The sequence below is a fragment of the Homo sapiens genome, chromosome 22 (assembly GCF_000001405.40).
Source record: "Homo sapiens chromosome 22, GRCh38.p14 Primary Assembly".
NCBI lineage: Eukaryota > Metazoa > Chordata > Mammalia > Primates > Hominidae > Homo > Homo sapiens.
In genome coordinates, this window is record NC_000022.11 from 25,962,268 (window position 1) to 25,983,210 (window position 20,943).

The following is a 20,943-nucleotide window of genomic DNA, read 5'->3' on the forward strand; positions in this document are numbered from 1 at the left end:
TGCCCACCCCATCAATGCATGTGTCACCCAGTTATTGTAAATGCCGATGTTCTTGTCTTCCTAGAGAGAGAAACCCTGAGAGAAGACTTTACTTGACTCGGGCTGCAACCTCCATATCAGAGTCAGGTATAGGGTAGATGCTCAGTAATTGCTTGCTGAATAATTTTCTCAGCATTTTGAAGTTTTACCTCTTAACAGAATGGCTCAAAAAAGTACATCTTAGAAATGGAAAATTTTAAATCAACCAACTGTTGTTTGTATCTTACTATGTACCTAGCCCTGTGCCTGATGTTGTGGGAGATGCAGACATGGATGGACTAGGGACTGTGCCCTTGCATTTCTCAAGATCTAGAGGAGGAGATGCACATGTCCCTCAATAACTCTGACACAAGATGGGATGTGTGGACAAAGGAAGAAATGGTTTCACACAAACAGGAGCCCTAGGGGAGATTGTATGGAAGATGCATCATTCATCTGAAACTTGTATGGAGTTTCTTGAATGATAAAGCAAATACTGGCTGGCAGCTTTGGGGGAGCAGTGATCCAGTCATGTTTATCACGACATCTCTCACTTGCATTCAGCAAGTGTCTAGTGAATGCCTGCTGTGTGTCAGGCAATGTCCAGGTTGCCGGAGAGTCAGAGAGAAACCAGTTACAGGGATATAAACACAGACTCTTCACCCCTTTCCTTTCTTCTCTTCCTTCTTTCTCATTGCAGCTCCCCTACTGCATGCCAATTGCAAAATCTCTTCCTCCTCCCTCTTCAACCTGTTTTCTTTTGCTTTCCTTGTTCTTCCTTATTCTTCCTTAGTTCTCACTTGTCTAGACTTAGGCATGCTGTTTCTCTCTCTCTCTCCTCTTTCTCTTTCTCCTCTCTCTCTCTCCTCTTTCTCCTCTCTCTCTCTCTCTCTCACACACACACACACACACACACACACACACAATTGTTTTGACTCAGGTTGGGAGGAGGGTCTGTGTTAAATTTCTAGGCTACCATAACAAATAATCAAAACCTGGATATCTTAAAACAACAGGAACTTATTGTCTCACAGTTCTGGAGGCTAGATGTCTGAAATGAAGATGTTGGGAGAGACATGCTCCTCTGAAGGCTCTAGGGGAGAATCCTTCCTTCCCCTGGTGGCTCCAGGCATTCCTTGGCCTGTGGGCTGCATCATGCTTATCTCTGCCTCTGTCTTTATGTGGCCTTCCCCTCTTCTCTTTCTGTCTCCATGTGTCCTCAAGGACACCAGTCATTGAATTCAGGGCCCACCTTAATCTAGTATGACCTCAGCTTAACTCATTACTTCTGCAAAGACCCTATTTCCCAATAAGGTCCCATTCTGAGTTTTTAGGTGGATATGGATTTTTGGGGGACGCTATTTAACCCACTATACGGTGGTTGAAAAGAGCATTGCGCTTGGAGTCTGATACCTCAGACAGCTAAGTTAACATTGAAGCAACTCAATTTCCTCATCTGTAAAATAGGCATAATATGGCCTGTTTTATTGGGTAGCTATGGGGATTAAATGAGATCATGTATACAAAAGTGTCAAATGACAGCCCATAATAAGCACCTAATAGATGGTACTTTATTTTCTTTCTTCCTTTTCTTACTCTTCCTTTGAGTTTCTGATTTTCTCCTTCCACTCAAGCTTTATCATATTCTACCAGCTCCACATCCATGCAGTGCCCGTGAGTGGATGGCAGTGATGTTAATAGGATTTAATATTTGTTTATCATATACTGTATGGTGGGTACTGGGTTAAGTACTTTACATGAATCCTCTGTTTTGAGAACTTGTTTGGAGGTTTGGAGATATACCCTTGACCGAAGACTGGTCCTCCTCTATCAGAGACAGTCATCCTCTTGAAGCATGCAGCTTTGGGAGGGATGAACATGGAGTGGTGAGGGGGGAAGGGGACACCCGCCTAGCCAGCTAGATCAGCCAGATCAACCCTGGCGATCAACAGGGTGACAGATGTTACAGCTAGATCGCCCTCACATCCGAATCCCCTATTTTGAGCCTCACCGTTGGAGGTAATTGTCCTTATTTTATCATTAAAGAAACTAAAATCCAGACAGGTGAAGCAATTTCTCCAAAGTCACATTCCCAGTAAATGGCAGAGTCAGAATTTGAGTGCGGGTCTGACCGACTCAATGAATTTTAGATACGCAGTGTTTACGTGTTCAAGTACAATTTTAAAAAATTAATAATATATGTTAATATTGCTTCTGATTCTGTAATGTAGAGGTTCTCAACCTTGGCATTATTGACATCTAGGATCAGATCATTCTATGTTGTGAAGACTGTCCTGTGTATGGTAAGACATTTAGTAGCATCCCTGTCCTCTACCTACTAGAGGCAAATAGCATTTCTGCCCCGTTTACCATAATCAAAAATGTCTCCAGACATTACCAAATGTCCCCTAAGGGGCAAAATCACCATCTGTTAAGAGCAACCTGTCTGAGATAATCCTCACCATAACCCTTTAGTTAACAACTATGATAACTCCCCATTTTACAGGTGGTTAAACTGAGGCTCAGGGAGGTGCTGTGCCCAAGGTCGCAGGGCAGCTGGAGAAGGGGGAACGTCAGGAAAGGAGAAAGTCAAGAATGGAAAGAGGCGGAAATTAGACTCCCTACCCTTGTAGGAAAAAAACCGGTAGCGGTTCCAGCAAAATCCAATCCCAACCTTCCTGAGACCCAGAGGCGACTTCACAGCAGAATCTAATTCTGAGTGGAATTGAAGGCCTTGCTGCAGACTGTGTACTTTTAATCATGTTTAAATAAAACATGGGACCATGGGTGTGATCTCCTCACTGAGCCTGGCTTGTCAGCCGCTTGGGCAAAGTCATAAATAGTTAATAGGCAACCACTTATGGCTCTACTTCTGTTAAATCTAGCATCAATTATATATGGTTCATGCATTATTTATTTGGTGTTACTTTGGGGTATATCTTCCACCTTCGGGGGAAAAGTGTAAAGAATGGGAGGCGTAGAGCAGATTTGAGGATAGCTTGTTTCCCTCTGTACTGGTCAATTTGTGAAGGCCTTGTTCCCCTCCATATTGGTCAGTTTCCCTCGAAGGAAAAAGCCCATTGATGATTAGGAGATGATTAGGAGATGAATTTGGATCTGAGAGGACTTTACCAGACCACCAGGAAAAAAGATCGGGGCGGTGATGTGCTGGTAAATGTTTAACAACTGCCTTTCCAGGGCAGGTGGATTCCTGGCTTGTAGTGTTTGCCAATTTCTGTGGTGTAAATTCTCCCTCCAGGGCTGATTTCAACCTAACTACATGATGTCACCAAGGCAGAGTTGGGAAGCAATGCACAGTAGCGCATCATTATATATCATTTGCACCATACAGGTACAAAAAGCACAAATACCTTCAAAAGCATAGTTAGAGCAAAACGTTAGCAAAATAATTAGAAAGCAATGTGTTTTGAGTACGTATTACCTTTGTTTTTCATATATTTAGTTGTAAGCTTGTATCATTTAATCTTTAATAATAGCTGTGTTTGACAACTGGCTTGCAAAATTCCCTAAAATTTAGCTATCAGCTCTTGCCAGCCAATATGAGCCACTTCCTGCACTCCTGTGACCTGGCGTCTCCTTGGGGTGGTGTCCCCATACCCTGTTAGAAGGCGGTTGGCAGAGTAGAAGGAGTGAAAGGCTCTTAATCAAGTCTCATCGCTCACTGACTGTCTTTTTAAGCAAGATTACTTCACCATTAGAAATCTGTCCTTCTGAGCATGCTCTTTTAACTCATGTATAAAATAGATGCAATCACATCTCCTGGAAAAGACTAAAACAAGTAATTCATGCCATGCTTCTAGATCTGCCTGTCACATAACTGTCCCCAAAAGCACACCTGCTCCTCTCTCCCTGTTCATTTTCTCCTGCCTTCTGAGAATCTGAACATAGTAGGTAGGGGCCTTAGGAAGCCCAAAGTCAGGTTCTGTTTTTTGTTTGTTTGTTTTTGTTTTTGTTTTTGTTTTTTCATTTGCTTTAATTTTTTTCCACTCCCAAACCCCATGTTTTCAAAAGTCCCCTTCCATCTACTTACTCCATGGCATTCACCAAACCCACAGTGAAGGGGTTCATTTCAAAAAGCCCTTGGTGTTTTCCCCCTGCAAATGGCTATGAACTTGAAAGCGTAAAGATGAATTATTCTGGCTGGGAACTGAAGTATTTAAAAAGGCATTCCACATGGAGGGCATTTGGGGCCATGAGCCGGGTGTAAATAACACATTTTATGGCTCTCCTGACAGGGAGATAGCCCTCCTAATTACTGCCCCGTTATCTCAGTGGGATCCAAAATGACCCAACACGCTTATAAACTCTGTGTTCACAGATTTCCTTTTAATCCCTACTCCTAATGGCCTCCCGCATGCTCAGAGAGCTGACAGGGGAACCCGCGGGTATTTCTGTCACTCCCCTCCTTCTAGGCACTGTGGTTTCCTGTTTGTCTCCCTACAAAGGTTTCTGTACAAAAGAAACTTAGTCCTAATAGGCATTTAGGTGCTGCTAGCCTCAGACATGTTTCTGAAAGTGAATTCTCCCAAGCTGTCTTTATCTCACATGGTGAATGTGCTTGTCTCAATTCAAGAGGTGTTACCATCTAACGAAAGAGTTTCTTTGCGTCTGGCTCTGAGATGAGTTATCCTGATAATAAAATCTATTACCAAAAGCCTACCTAGGAATAATTGGGTCTATTACTCCCCGACTTGTGGCTTTGTTTCTGCATTGAAAACAGACTCTCCAGCAATTAATCAGAATTTAAAGTTGCTAATACCAATTACAAATAATGCGCTGAGGCTCAAGATGGCAAACAGAGGAGCAGATACTAATCTTGTCCCTTGAGATTTCATCAATTGAACTTTCGTCACTTCAGACTTGCTGGAAATTAGAGTAACTTAACTCTGCAAAGTTAATTACTTAAAAAAGAAAGGGGAGAGATATTGATTGAATATGGCAGGAGTATATTAAATTATTCAAATAAATCCAATTTATATTGTTTAGATGAGATTATGCTTCACTTAATTGTATGCCAGGGAGGCTTAGGAAGGTTAGTCTTCATGGTAGAAAGCTTGATCATTGTTACGATTTGACATCTTTAAAAGATAGTGGTCCCAAGGAAATCCAGGGGGCCCCAAATCAGACACTTCATGTTTTTGATTCATTTCCAAAGTATAATTCGGTTTGAAGGGTAATTCTCTTTTTACTGTTCTTTTTTGACAGAGCTTAAACAATAAGAAAGGGAGAGGGGATCTCAGAATATGAGGATCGACCAAGCAGTTGGGAAGCGAAATGGTTTTTTTGGGAGAATTGGCTGGTTTGGAATTCAAAGTGTATTTAGTGGGGAAAGATGAATATAACTTGTCTAGGTTATGGCTCTTTTAGTTGCAAGTGACGGAAACAAAATTAAATTGGCTTAAGCAAAAGGAAATTTATTGGCTCATGTAATGAAAAAGTTTCATGACCTCTGGCTTCAGACTCAGTGAAATTCAGGGACTCAAATGATGCCAACAGGCTGAATTCGGTGTGCTGGGGTCAACCCGTATCTGTTTGCCAGAGCTGACTGTGTCCATCTCTTCCCAATTCCATGCTCCATGACATCACATTGGTAGCTTGACATTGGCCATTGTGGGATTATTTACACTATGGAAACTGGCAAATGTTAAAGGATTTCCACTCATCCCCACAGTCAGTTTTGAACATTTACCAGCACACCACCGACTGAATCCCTCCCTTCCCATTGCCTTGGAGTTGATTGCCATTCTCAGACAGGCTTTCCCTTCCTAGTGGCAACAGAGTTAGGCTGACAAACAGCAAGGCTATCAACCTCAACAGAAAGAGGGCCCCTTCCACCCAGCGGCTCAAACAAAGGCCAAGAAGTAGAATCTCATTGACCCTGATTGGCCTGGTTTGGGTTATATGCCCACACCTAAACCAAGCACTGGTATTTGAAGGGTAGAGGCTGGATTGAACAGTTCTGGGGTACATGCCCAGCCCTGAATCCAGGAGTAGAGTCAGCTCCACCCTAGCCATATGGATGGAGAGTAGAAGAATAGATTCCCCCAAGGAAAATTGAAATGTTAGTGCCAGAAGGAGGAGAAATGGTTTCCAAAAAGGCAAAGCCTTTGGATGCCCACTGTGGAAGCCACATCTGTGGGCCTTGACTCTTGCAGAGATCTCTCTGCCTTGCCACAGGCCCCTTCTAGGTTTTATCTTCTCTGCTTGTGTTCCTGCCTCCTGCTTGACTTTTTCCTCCTCCTTTTTGTATATTTTCTGTTACTCCTGGGGCTGGGACATCCCATAAGTAGGGTGGATCAAAGAAAGGAAATGGAGGCCGGAAGTGGACAGCCTAAATTCCCTTTCTATCTTCTCAAAGGGAGTGGCTCACACAGTAGGAGGAGCTTGCCTTGAAGCCAGGAAGTCTGGGTCCAAGCCACACTTCTGCCTCTGACTGACTCTGTGGACTTGGGCACATCTTTTCCCTTGCTGGACTCACTTTCTCTCTCTGTAAAACGGACCAGACGACTTTTAAAGCTCTTTCTGCTGAGACCCCTGGGCAAGCCCAGAGCTGGTTGGTCATAGAGCTGCAAGCTTTGAGTGTGTCTCAAATGGCTGATAGTCATGGTGGCAGCTTCCTCTGAAACAAGCACATTCCTACACCCCAAGAGCAATGCACAGAGTCACACAATCTCAAACCTGAAGGTGCCCAGGCCTCTTCATTCCAACTGGTATCTTCTCCAACCTCAGACTGGTAAAAATTCCATCTCTGTTATGCAACTGTGGGGTTGGGGAAATTACTACCTCTGTGGGCAACAACATTCCCATAGACCTCCCCTTCTCCATCCCATTCTAGATTGATTCTATAGCTACCCCACAACTGGATTCCAGATGTGTCACCTTATCTGTTGGAGAGAGGGTTTCAAAGGACAGAGAGATATCCCTTGCTTATCTCACCTGGGAGTTAGCAAGGAGGTATCCAGAGATTACCACGTTTTTTTCTTCTTTTAAGTAGCCAAATCTTATTTTAAATCCATAGCTGATACAGATTTGTGGTAAGTAAAAGCAGAGCTCCCCATTAGGGCTCATCTACTTTTCCACCCTGGCCCCTGAGGCAGCACCATAAAATACAGCTTGATAACCTATGGTCAGATCTGGCTGCTGTCCTGATTTTTATAAATAAAGTTTTATTAAGACATAGTCACAAACATTTACCTATTTTCTATGGCTGCTTTGGGGCTACAACAGCAGAGAGGAGTATTTGTGATAAGACCATTTGGCCTACAAAGTCCAAGATATATACTACCTGGTCCTTTACAGAAAAAAAAATCACTTACCTTTGCCCTAGAACATTGCTTAGCACAGAGTAGGCATAAAAAAATACATGCTGAGAGAAGAAAGAGCTTGACAGGACAAAGAACTGGGAATAAGGAGACTTAGATGCAAATCTCAGTTCCATCATGTCCTTACTGTGTGACTTTAGTCAAGGCACTCACTTTCTCTGTTTCCCTGTTAACTCATAAAATGGAGACAATTATTGCAACTGCTTCACAGCATTGTGGGGATTACTTAATAAAATAATGTGTTTAAATACTTATTACAGTGCCTGGCACAAAGTAAGCCCGCCTATCATCATCATCATAATAACCATCATCATCATCATTATCATCATCATTGCCATATCATCTTCTTCATCACCACCACCATCACCACCAACACATCATCTTTTCCACCATTCCCACCATCAGCATCACCTCCATTGTTACCACAACCATTACCATCATTATCTTCATCACTGTCATCATCACCACCATTTGCATCATCATCACCATCACCATCAATCATCATCTTGATCACCACCATCATTATCATCACCATCATTACCACCACCACCATCATGAAAATTATTATTATCACTCTCATCACTGTGACCACCGCCATCATCATCACATCATTATCAGAGTGAGACTAGAATCAAAGAGCACTGCAGAGCCCCTTCAAGAGTAGGCAAGCCCTGTGATTCAGAGCAGGCATATAAGTCTAGGCCAGTGGTTGAATTATTTCCTATTTGAAAATTCTGTGAATGACGTCCCCAAATGCAGTATACCCCACCTTGTGACCTGTGAGTTCATAGATGCCTCCTTCTTTGTGCTCAGTGTCCTGAGTGTCAGCTTCATTGGAATTCTGCCTTCTCCAGCCTTGTCTTGGCTGCATTCCAGGTAAATGACTCGGAGCCCATCTTGCTGCATGTCACCTCTGCCGCCCGCCCGCTTGGATAATTAGAATCAACACATTCATTTCCCTAACAGCATTCTCATCTCCCCCTCTCAAAGTTTTCAAATGGAAAAAGAAAGGCAAAAACAAGCTACATCTGTCCTTGTTCAGGCAATTTGCAGCTGTCTGCAGCTGACATCCACCCAGCTGGGCGGCAGAACTAGCTTTCCTGTTTGCTTTTGGTGGAAGATGATGTGGTTGATGCTGTTATTAAAGTTTGGCAGTGGTTTGGAGACAAAGCGTCCTGCTGGAGAGAGACTTAAACACTCAGGGGGAATCCTTCAGGCTCCTGCCTTTGTGAGCTAATTGCTTGGTGGGTGGGGAGAAGAAAAAAGACTGATGTCACTTTTCAGCAAACAAAAGGAAAGGAACTCAAGAAATAAGATGATTTTCGGTTTTTGCTTCTTTCTGAGAGCCTGCTGAGTTTGCACACAGGTAGCAACTGGATGCTCTGATCCAGGGACTGGCAAGTATTTTCTGTAGAGGGACAGGTAGTAAATATTTTAGACTTTGTAGTCCATACTGTCTCTGTCACAACTACTCAACTCTGCTGTCGCAGCACAAAAGCAGCCCTAGACATTATGCAAATGAATGAATAGATGAGCGTGGTTATGTTCCAATAAAACTTTATTTAGAAAAACAGATGGTGGACTGGATTTGGCCCACGGGCTGTAGTTGGCCAACTCTTGCTCTATGCTCTGTTGGAAGAAGAAGTGGAGTTGGAGGCAGACAGCAGAGCTGGGTTTAAATCTTGTCTCGATCTCTTTCAGGCACCTGTCCTCTTTGAGTCTTTGTTTCTTCATCTGTAGAATGGGTTATCAGGTAGTTGGGAGATTAGAATGTTTTGCACATGTTAAGTGGTCAATAAATTGTAATTCTTTGTAGTACTCACCCGCTGACCCCAGCCAAAAAACATGAGAGAGTGAAACCAAATAAAGAAGGCTGTCTGCTTTCCTGTTGGCCCTAGCTATGGTTACAGTTCAGTGATGCAGATCTTTTTGTAGCTCATTTGAGAGTCTGGCAGCTCTGAGTTTCCCAGGATGATCCTTCTGTTGTCTGTTCCTACCAGTGCCTTCCCACACCAAGATGCCTTCCTGTGTTCAGACTATTTCGTTTCCATCACAAAGGCGCGGCCTCAGTTAGGAAATCCCAAGTATGCAAATTAAGATTCTGTTTATGCACTTTTGTTGTTTAGAGAGAGTAGTTTTTGTTGTAGTTGGGTCGACATTAAAGACTTGTTGTCTGTAAGCCAAAGACATGGCTGCATGTCAAATCTAACAATCATGTTTGCATTTTAACTGGTATGATTTTCAAACAGGGTCCTAGGGACAATTCAGACTTATGTGTGCTGATACTCATAGTTAAGATTCACTTAACCTGAAAGGGCAAAAAAAAAAAATTTTTTTAGTAGAGACGGGGTTTTGCCATGTTGGCCAGGCTGGTCTCGAACTCATGACCTCAGGTGATCCACCTGCCTCTATCTCCCAAAGTGCTGGGATCACTGGGATTCATGCCACTGCATTCCAGCCTGGGTGACAGAGTGAGACTGTCTCAAAAAAAAAAATACATACATATATATATAAATAAAATATATGTATTTTATATTTATATATGACTCACAGGTCATTACATATATATTTTTCCATGAATATATGCATATATATATACATAGGAAAAGTGTGACCAGAACCCCGATTTGTGATTCTGTGGTTAGTTGCTTGCTTGGTTTGCATCTGTTAAGGATGTCAGCTGGAGGTATATTTTAAGTTGCATTATGTATAGCTTGTATTTACTTGTTATTATTACTTATATAACAGCCTATCATTTGTGCCAGGCCTGAGCATGTTTTATACCTCATGTCATTTAATTCTCTTCAATTTCGTGTGACTTATGGCTTTACTTTTCAAAATATATTCGCAGATCAGCAGCCTTGGCTATAGAAATGTAGAGTCTCAGGCTCAGCCCCACACCTTTGAGTCAGAATTGGCTTTTTAACAAGGTCCCAGGTGACTCCTAGGCACAGCAGCATGGCAGGAGCCCTGATGTCGGTATTTCATCAGCACTGAATTGCAGGTGAGGAGACTAAGGCTGAGAGAGGTTAGAGACGAGATCTCGGCTGGGCACGGTGGCTCACGCCTGTAATCCCAGCACTCTGGGAAGCCGAGGCAGGTGGATCACCTGAGGGCAGGAGTTGGAGACCAGCCTGGCCAACATGGCGAAACCCCTTCTCTACTAAAAATACAAAAATTACCTGGGTGTGGTGGTGCATGCCTGTAATCCCTGCTACTCCGGTGGCTGAGGCATGAGAATTGGTTGAACCTAGGAGGTGGAGGTTGCAGTGAGCCAAGATCGTGCCACTGCACTCCAGCCTGGGTGACAAAGTGACTCTGTCTCAAAGGAAAAAAAAAAAAAAAAAAAGAGATAGGATCTCCTCCCATGCAGATCTCACCCACACAATCCACTACACAATTTAGCTATGGTTCCTGCCTCTGTATTACTGATTTGTTTTTTTGCTTCTAGATCTTGTTTCTGAAGGACACTATCTACTTCCTATTGTTAAGCATCACTTTCTTCTTGGTGCTTCCAGTGTGGGGTCCAGAAGCTAACCACACACTTAGTAGGTGTTCCAATATTTACTAATTGCCGAGTGAACCCATGAAACATTCACACATGCAAAAGTGAGAGCTTACTCTTAAAAATGGGGTGGTGGTGGTGGCTGTGAATATCAATCAAAAGGGTTTCCTGAGCACATCTGCCCTTCAGGGCTTTGCATTTTTAGAACATAGAACAATAGCACCTCTTAGAACCTTCAGACCATAGAAATATAGAACACAGAACGTAGGACAGAACCCAGTGGCTCTTGGCCTGGAGTTCCTCCAGTTTTCTCCCATGGGGTGATTTCAGCAGACAGAACAAGTGAAGTGCCATAATTTCTCTGATATTTAGATTATTTTCTATCTCTCTATAACATATATGAATACCCTAGGATGGTGTTGTCAAACATGGTAGCCACCAGCCTCACAGGGATATTTACATTTAATTGAAGTGGAATAAAATTTAAAATTCAGATCCTCGGTCACACCAGCCACACATCAGGTGATCAATAGCTATGTGTGGCTAGTGGCTACCATATTGGACAGCAGGCATGATCTCAAACAAGCATAATCCTTTTGTGCATAATCCAAATGCTTTGTGTTCCCATCTTATTTGTAATTGCCTCCCAGACTTCTCCCTAGGGTGGAGGGGGCTGGACCACATGCCACTTCCTTTCCAATCCCTTTTGAACTCACACATGACTTTTCTCATCATCACATCATTGTCACAAGGAGGGGGACCTGTTTCTGGGGCAACAAATAGTAATACATACTCATCTGAGCCTCATTTGGTCCCACAGCTGTTTTGGGTCAAATCTCAATTGTGTCTTAGGTCATCCTAGTCTTAGGACGGTGAGGAGGCAAACGTTATCATCTCACATCTGTATTTCATCCATTTTTTCCACAAGGTACCATCAACTTGCATTTTTTGAAAAATTAATTTACTCACTAAACTCTTTTATGTCTGCTAATTAATGTTCATACCTTTTCTTCCTCTAATACAACAGCATCTCTTAATTATCAATATGGCTACTCAACAATTAGACCCGCCAAATCTCAGCGTTTGGAATGATAGCATCCTAGAACTTTGATATATAAGACCTTAGAGCCTTCAAGCCAGAAAATCTCAGGATTAATAGAATCTTGAATCATTTGACACGCATAATATTAAAATCTTATTAAATTGAACCATATGAATTTGCCACTTGTATAGGTCAAAATTGGTTCAATATAGCTGATTGTAATTGGCTCAACCTAATAGAAATATGGAATATTGAAATCTATACATTCTTAGAATTGTTAGCTCCTAATGCTACACAATTTTAGAACTTTAGGATTTTAGAACAGGGGCCAGTCAACTTTTTCTGCAAAGGACCAGGTAGTAAATATTTTCAGTTTTGCAAACCATAGAGTCTCTGTCTCAACCTCCGAAGTCTGTCATTATAGCATGAAAGAAGCCGCAGATAATGCATAAATGCCTAGTTGTGCTCCAATAAAACTTGATTTACGAAAACAGGCAGGAGGCCAGATTTGACCTGAGGGTTGTAAATTGCCACCCCTGTTTTGGAACATAAAACTGAAAGGGTCCCACCAAGCACTTGGATTTGCACAGGAAACTCATAGACCTCTCCTATGGTTCCAAAGGGTCCCATTCAAATATGGAGCCATTTTAAGCACAGTTTTGATTGGTTCAGTCCACTGTCTGTCCCAGGGCAGTGTCTGGCCTCCAGAGAGGGAATGCGGGGGAAGAAGGAGACTTTGGAGGCTGTGACCAAAGCGATCCCTGACACTGGGAGAGTGTCAAAGAGCCATGTCCCAGAGTTGGAGAAAAATGGGGGAGACTGTTGGAATCAATGCCTGGCTTCCAAAGTTCTGGAAGACCTTGTGAGTCAAGCCCCTCGATCAGAAGCAAAAGATGATCCTGAGTGCCTGGGAAGGCAGAACTGATGGACCTGGCAAGAGTCAATGGGCCCCAGCTGCGAAGTGAATTTGATGAGGCTGTTCATCCAAGAGGCGTGCACAACCTGGCCATAACCTTGAGATGTGGAGGTAAAAGAGAGCACACCGCTTAGCAGTTGTTTTTCTTTCCTGATGAGTCAATAAATGAATAAATGGACCATGAGTGGCCAAGTGGCTGATATAATTTCAGACTCCGTCAAAAGGAAGATCGCAAAAGTGTACGGAGGTAGCTTCAACGTCTTTATGTTCCGCCGCTGTGAGCCCCGGCATCCTAATATCATATAGTCTGAGAGGCATCTGAAAGCGAGGCAGAGGGCAGCCTGGGGATTAACATTTACTGTATGTCTACTATGTGACAGGCACTGTGCAAAGTGCTTTCGATATACCATCTAATTAAATCTGCACTTTCAACCTTATGAGCAAGGAAATATTTTTATCTCTATTTTACACATTTAACAAAAGAGGCTTACAAGAGTTGAAGTGATTTGCCCAAGGCCAGATAGCTAGGAAAGATTGACACCAACATATGTGATCACTCCAAAACATATGCTCTTAACCACAATGTCTGCATTTCTCCAATATCACCTGTACACAGATCACCCGGGGATATTGTTAAGGTGCAGATTCTGACTCAGCAGATCGGGGGCAGGGCCTGAGATTCTGCATTTCCAACCAGCAACCAGGTGATACTGATGCTTCTGGCCCAGAGACCCCACTTGGAGCAGCTGGTACTATATCATAGTTTCTCTTTATGCCAGGGCCCCCAAAGTTATGAAAGGGTGAGGTTTACACTTTTAAGATGAGGTCACACAGCAAACAGTGGTTTGTCCTAGATTCAAATTCACATCTGTCTGACTCCAGAGTCCATTTCTTTCAAAAATAAAGTCTACTGCTTACCCTTATGCCTGTAGCTTGACCCTCAGCTGGGGGTGATTTTGTCCCCCCAGGGAACATTAGGAAATATCTGGAGACATTTTTGGCTGGCACAACTTGGGTGGGAGGTGCTGCTGATATCTGGTGGGTAGAGGCCAGAGATGATGCTAAGCATTCTGAAATGTACAGCATAGCCCTGTGTAAGCACTCACAAAGAATTATCTGCTCCCAGATATCCCTAATGCTGAGGTCAAGAAACCCTGCTTTCTCAAGACACTGCTCAGTGTCTTTTGGTCAGAAATAAAAATCCACCCAGAACCTCTCTCTTGAGGCCACTTAGTGCACTTAATTTAGAGTTAGTGGACATTTCAACCAATTCCACTAAAAAATGGCCATGAATAAATAAGAGCTGTAGCTACCAAAAAAGTCCATTATGCAATCAATAGGTGGAACTTTCCACTACTTTGAGATGAGGGCTTGCTGTTTACAACTCTGTTAATATCCTTGTGCCACAGCAGATGGAAACCAATCAGGTCCAGAAATCATTGTCTTAATTTTAGTCATTAACATGCCTGGCCACATGCTGTTTATTGGCATCTTTTGCTGTTTATGTTGCATGCTCCGTTTTCTCTGATGGTAGCTTTTGCCTTCACCCTATTTCTGAGGGAGATAGCATTGACTCTGATCCAAGCCTGGGGAAGGCTAGGATCTGGCATTGATCACCAGCACCAATATCTCCATTCCATATCCTCCTTGATCAATTCTTGGAAGAACATATCTAATAATACAAGACTATTGATGAGGCTTGATTTGCCCGAGAGGGATTGTTTCCCCCTTCTTACTCAAGCTCATTTAAGATGTTTCTTTGGCTTGTGGAAAATGCTGATTGAGGTTTCATTTGTTACGAGGTGACGGGATATGCCTGAAAAGAGAAGTGTGTCTCTGAAGAATGAAGAAACAGTATGATAGATAATTATCTCCTATGCATTCAGCTCTTTACAGTTTACAAAGCACCTGAATGTAACTTGGGCTGCACGATGCTCTGTATTGAACATAGGGAAGGAATTGACATCTATTGTAGAGTTGAGGGGCCGACTGTAGGATGTACTCATTGGTGCCTGGGGAATCCAAACAGATGTGGGATCCATTTCTATGTCTTGCAATGGATGTGGTTCTCCTTCTCATATCCGTGCTGTTTCTCCCCGGCTATGCTTATCTGCATAGCTGTTGGGTTACAGTCATTTTAATCATCAGTGGCCTGGATGGCTTTATTCAAGGGGTGATCCGATTTTCCAACTCCTGTATTTGTATTTGTATTTGTATTTGTATTTGTATTTGTATTTGTATTTGTATTTGTATCTGGGTTGCTGTGTCTGTAACCCAAGTAGAGTCTCTCCTGGGACTGCTGTGAACATACATGGATGCTACACCAGGTTAAGACCTAATGTGCCCCAGGGGGTTGTCACATTGGGAGTAGTGGTTGTATCTCATTCTTGGGCATGGTGAATTGTGACCTGACAGTGAGGAAGTGGGACATAGGACGAGCATGTTTTTGTGGAGAGGAGAAAGGAAGGACTTTGAGGCCCATGCTGGGGCATTACAATAGTTTGGCTAGTAGAGTACAGAGCACATGCCTGAGTGGAGAGAATGAGGGGCACAGGGAAGATGGGGTGAGGGTGAGAAAGCATCAAAACAGAGGAGACCCCCCAGGTTGGCATATTGCACAAGCTGTCACTCAATAGTTCTAAGAATAGGAAAGGGAGCTGATGTTTATTAAGCACTTGTTATAGTCTATGCAATGTGTCAAACACTTCCTCTCATCAGTGACTCTTCAGCTAGTCCTATAGCACAACAATGCTGTTATTATTTCCACTTTGCAGATGAGAAAACTGAGGGTCAAGTGGGTGACAAGACTTGCTTGGGGTCACGTTGCAAATGGTGGAGCTGGGTTGCAAGCTCCTGTCTGTGTGAATCGATGGCCCATGTTGGTAAGACCTGCTGCATGCTACCCAAGTTATGAATTTAGGGCAGGAAGAGTTTAAAGTTGAAGTATTTATGTGGTGACTTCTAAGTTCTGAGTACTACACGAGGTATTTGGGATATAAGGCCGAGTACAACCTTATTCATAAGGAGATCAATATAGTAGGGAATTAGACATTGGCAAATAATTCCTATCTGATGGGATATCTGTCTTTCCTAGTGGCTTGTACAAATGCTGGGAGCATAGAAGGGAAAGAAACTAATTCTATGAGAGGGAGCCAGAGAGCACATCATACAGGAGGTGATTATGGAATGGGGTCTTGATGGATGAGTAGAAGTTCACTTGTCAGAGAAGGGATAAGGCAGAGTAGAGCATTCCAGATGGAGCAATGGTAGGTTCAAAGGCACAGAGGCATCAAAGAACATGGCATGTTTGGGAGCTTGGGAATACTCTGGGAATTACTGATGTGGGGTGCAAGGTGTGGGCAGCAAAAAGAAAGGGCGAGTTGGGACAGAGACTTTAAAGGACTTGATATGCGAAACAACAAAGTTGGGACTGTGGGAACTGAGAAGACACTGAAGACTTTTCAGCAGAGGAATGACATGATCAGGTTAAAGAGATTCCTCCTTGGAGGCTTTGTGGAATACAGTTGGAGAGTGGTGTAGATTGATGAGAGGAACACCAGTTTAAAACTATGTGAATCCTGGCCAGGCATGGTCGCTCATGCCTGTAATCCCAGCACTTTGGGAGGCTGAGGCAGGTGGATTACCTGAGGTCAGGAGTTCGAGACCAGCCCTGCCAACATGGCAAAACCTTGTCTCTACTGAAAATACAAAAATTAGTAGGTTGTGGTGGTGGGCGCCTATTGTCCCATCTACTCGGGTGGCTGAGGATTGCTTGAATCTGGGAGGCAGAGGTTGCAGTGAGCCGAGATTGCTTCACTGCACTCCAGCCTGGGCAACAGAGCAAGACTCTGTCTCCATAAAAAAAGAACTATCTGAATCTTTAGGAGATGATGATGAAGACTAAATTTATAAAAAGATAACAGAGAGCAGAGGAAAGATGCAAGAGATTGTATTGATGAGGTACTTGAGGCCTAGAGAAGGGATCCAGGGTAAGCTATAAATTGTTCCCACGCTACACTTCTTTGGAGACAAAATCCAGTGGCCACTTGAGAAGTTTCAAAGTCCATTTTCCCTATTTCTGCAATCACGTGGGCTAGTGGGCTGAGAAGAAATATGAGCTGCATTTCCATTTAAATTGAAATAAGACATGTCAAAGGTGGCTTAGTAATTACCAGCTGGAACAATGGCAGTATGATGTGGGAAGTGTAGTGTCAGTATATGCGGTGCAGATAATTTTTGCAGTTGAGACTTAATTATGTTGATATAATTATTCCCCTGTCAGGAAAATTGGGTGGCACAGATATGTCATATTTGTGTTTGAGCAGAAAAATGAAATGCCTTTTTTATTCAGAGAGCAACTGGGTGGTTGACTCTGGGAAGTTGGGATTGGGGCGTTTGGAGTTTACCCCAGGTCAGGATGTCTGTTTGCATCTGGGGGTTTTGTGAATCCCCTGCTCAGTTGGTATCAACTTTGAGAAGGTTGTTGGGGTCCCATGATGGCTATTCTTTGCCCCTTTCTGAGGATGCTGCATCGGAAGTCATAGGCTGGAGAGGATTTTTAGGGATGGGAAAGCTAGGAGCTCTGAATAGCAAGAGCTTTAAGGAACTTTAGAGAGATTTCTTTTTAAAATTTTTATTTGCAAACCTTGCGACTGAAAAACCCAAGGTAGAGTTGCGTGCCTTGAAGCCTGATCCCTCCTCCCTTTCCCTTCCCCTTCTCCATCCCAATGCCCCAAGAGAGCCTTAGCCACCTTCTCCATCCCTGTGTGATAAGGTCTTGAGGAGTCTGTGCCATCCACTCCTCCCCATCCATCAGGGACTCCAAGAACCAAGTACAAAGCCCCTTCCTCACCATTGAAGCTCCAGTCCCTGGCGCTATGATTACTGAAGTAGCTGGAATGATGTCCAGGCAGAAATGATCCATCTAAAGTGGATGAAATGGAGAGAGGGGTGCACTTGATAAGAGAGAGAGGACAGGGGTAGGAAACTCCCAGGTTGTAGTTTTTTCTCTGCCACCCCGTGACTGAGCAATCTTTACCAGGTGACTTCATGCTCCAAGACTCCGTTTTGGCCCCTGGTATCTGGCATGTGTGTCCAGAGATGCTCATGGGATGTGTGAATGCACACAGTAGTGCAGCCGACTTAGGCATTCTGCAGGCAAACTCTTTATCATCTACATTTTAAACAACTCAAGTTGCCTAAATGTTAACTTTCCAGAAAGCTATAAAGACCCTCAGGCAACAGCTGAGGGCATTTTAAAACCATCAGGTTGAAAAATAAGAAGAGAAAGGAAAGACCAGAAGCAGGTGCCTGGAGCAGCAAGCCCTTCTGCCTGAAGATAAGGGAGAATCCTGGCAGGGAAAGCTGGGTGGTGTACAGTTCCATAGAGTCCCCTGCTTGGCTGCAGAGCCAACTCCATTCTGCCTTTAATATACAAGTGTTTTACCTGAGCGTGAGTCAAATAGATGTTATCTATACTCATACGCAGAAATCAACACAGGATGGAAATACACCAACATATTCATGAAAAGCAGTTGTCCCCAAGTAATAGATTTAAGGATGATTTTCAAAGTTTTCTTTTGTCACTTTTTAAATGTTCTACATTCTCTATAGTGAATGCTATTAGAAACAGAAAAGCAAAGCAACGGTGTTTAAAAGAGAAAGAAAAGAGCACGTGGTGTTGTATTAGTTTTTTAGGGGAGGTATAACAAAGTGCCACCAACTGCATGGCTTAAGACAACAGAAAGGTATTGTCCTACAGTTCTGGAGGCTGGAAGTCCAAAAAACCAAGGTGTCAGCAGGACCATGCTCTCTTCAAAGGCCCTCGGAAAGAAACTATTCCATGCCTGTCTCCTAGCTTCTGGTGGTTCACTGGAAAGTTTTGATGTTCTTGGCTTCTAGATACATCACTCTAATCCTCAATCTTTATGTGACATTCTCCCTGTGTCCTCACATTCTCTTCCCTCTGAGTGTATCTCTGTGTCCAAGTTTCCCCTCCTTAGAAGGATACTGGTCATATTGGATTAGGACCCATCCTGCTGACTTCATTTTGACTTGATTACCTCTGTAGAGACCTTATCTCTAAATACAGTTACATTCTGAAGTCCTGGGGATTAAGACTTCAACCTGTCTTCTCTGGGGATATGATTCAACTCATAAACAGATGTGTTTCTCGAGATGAGAAGTTCTTCCTTTGTAGGTATGGGAGTCAATTGAGATGGGACAAATGTGAAGATCTTTTGATGTTACTGTGACAGCCAGCCTCCCAGATGGTTCTCAGTGATCTGTGTCTCTGGCATTCACACCCCAGTGTTTTCACCTCCCATACTGCATCAGAGTTGTTCTGTGTGACATATTGATTATGTCATTGGTAATAGGTTGTCCTTTCTGAGGTTAGGCTATAAAAGACATTTGGTGGCAGCAGGATCACTTGAGGCCAGGAAGTCAAGACCAGCTTGGACAACACAGTAAGACCCCATCTCTACAAAAATAAAAATAAAAAAATTAGCCTGGTGTGATGGTACATGCCTGTAGTCCCAGGTATTCAGGAGGCTGAGGCAGGAGGATCACGTGGGATCAGGAGTTTGTGGCTGCAGTGAGCCATCATGGTGCCACAGCACTCCAGCCTGGGCTACAAAGTGAGACCCTGTGTCTAAAGAATGATCATAAAGATACATAATAAAAAGACATTTGGCTTCTGCTGTGTTCTCTCTTGGATCACTTGCTATGGGAAAACCATCCACTGTGTCATGAGGACACTGAAGCAGCTCAGCGGGTGTATTAGTCCGTTCTTGCATTGCTATAATGAACTACCTGAGACTGGGTGATTTATAAAGAAAAGAGGTGTAATTGGCTCATAGTTCTGAGGCTGTACAGGAAGCATGGCTAAGGAGGCCTCAGGAAGCACAATCATGGCAGAAGTTGAAGGGGAAGCAGGCGGTCCCTACATGGCTGGAGCAGGAGGAAGAGAGAAAAGGGGGAGGTGCTACCAGATCTTATGAGATCTTATTTGCTAACATGAGAGCAGCAAAGGGGAAATCCACCCCCATGATCCAATCACCTCCCACCAGGCCGGCCCCTCTTCCAACACTGGGGATTACAATTTACCATGAGATTTGGGCAGGGACACAGATCCAAACCACATCAGTGGGAGATCCACGAGGCAGAGAACTGAGCCTTCCTGCCAACAGCTAGTGAGGAAGTGAGGCCTCCAGCCAGTAGCCACATCAGTGAGCCTGCTTGGAAGGGGACCCTCCAGCTGCAGTCAAGCCTGCAGACAACCAAAGCCCTGGCTGGCATTTCGATAGATCCTGTCTTCATTCCCTACTGCTGCTGCAACAAGCAACCACTAACACAGTATCTTAAAACAACACAGATTTATTCTTTTAGAGCTCTAGAGATCAGATGTCCAAGATGAGTCCAAAGGCATTCAAAATTAAGGTATCATCAGGATTGGTGCCTTCTGGAGGCCCTAGGGGACAATCTGTTCCAGCCTCTTCTAGCTTCTAGTGTCTGCCAGCATTTCTTGGCTCCTGGATGCACCACTCCAATCTCTGCTTCCATCCACATCCACATTGCTGCTTTCTCCCCCACTGACCCCCTTGCCTCCATCTTCAAAGACCCTTATGATTGAGTATTTTAGGGACTACCTGGAGAATCCAGGACAATCTCCCCCTACCTCAAGATCCTTAAGATACTCATATCTGCAAGATGCCTTTTGCCATACAAGGGAACGGATTTACATGTTGCCGGATTAGATCATAGACATCTTTGGGAGGACTTTATACACGCTGCCAAATACCTTGAGCCAGAACCACCCAGATAAGCCACTCCTGAATTCTCAACCCACAGAAACCATGAGAGATAATAAATGATATTAGATATTTCAAAACTCTAAGTGTTCGGGTAACCTAGTATACAGCAATACATAACTAGTACAGAATAGGGATCTGTAATCCTGCACTTGATTCTGCAGCCTTGAAAATAATAATTCTGGTGGCCGAGCACAGTGGTTCACACCTCTAATCCCAACAGTGGGAGGCAGAGATGGGAGGATCACTTGAGGGCCAGAGTTCAAGGTCAGCCAGGGCAACATAGTGAGACCCCATCTCTAAAAAAA

At 43.5% G+C, this 20,943-nt stretch overlaps 1 protein-coding gene and 1 pseudogene across 14 annotated transcripts in view, besides 2 other annotated features; one reads left to right on the plus strand and one right to left on the minus strand.

Moving 5' to 3' along the window:
- The window catches only part of MYO18B (myosin XVIIIB), a 321,660-nt gene that overhangs the window by 220,080 nt on the left and 80,637 nt on the right, over positions 1-20,943 (plus strand). The window contains exon 41 of one of the 14 annotated variants that reach the window (XM_011530466.3): positions 2,525-2,804. The exons of the other annotated variants lie outside the window; for them this stretch is intronic. Coding sequence (XP_011528768.1) covers positions 2,525-2,731 — 207 coding nt within the window. The 3' untranslated portion in view covers positions 2,732-2,804. Of the gene's footprint in view, positions 1-2,524; positions 2,805-20,943 lie in introns of those variants that run through there. 14 annotated transcript variants of the gene reach the window in all.
- On the minus strand, positions 1,716-2,006 carry RN7SKP169 (RN7SK pseudogene 169; annotated as a pseudogene).
- Positions 7,929-8,721: an enhancer, noted in NCBI's record as "H3K27ac hESC enhancer chr22:26366162-26366954 (GRCh37/hg19 assembly coordinates)". NCBI's record gives its function as "activates a minimal SCP1, AML or CMV promoter by ChIP-STARR-seq in naive H9 embryonic stem cells {active_cell/tissue: H9 hESC(naive)}" and the evidence as "EXISTENCE:reporter gene assay evidence [ECO:0000049][PMID:30033119]".
- Positions 8,722-9,512: an enhancer, noted in NCBI's record as "H3K27ac hESC enhancer chr22:26366955-26367745 (GRCh37/hg19 assembly coordinates)". NCBI's record gives its function as "activates a minimal SCP1, AML or CMV promoter by ChIP-STARR-seq in naive H9 embryonic stem cells {active_cell/tissue: H9 hESC(naive)}" and the evidence as "EXISTENCE:reporter gene assay evidence [ECO:0000049][PMID:30033119]".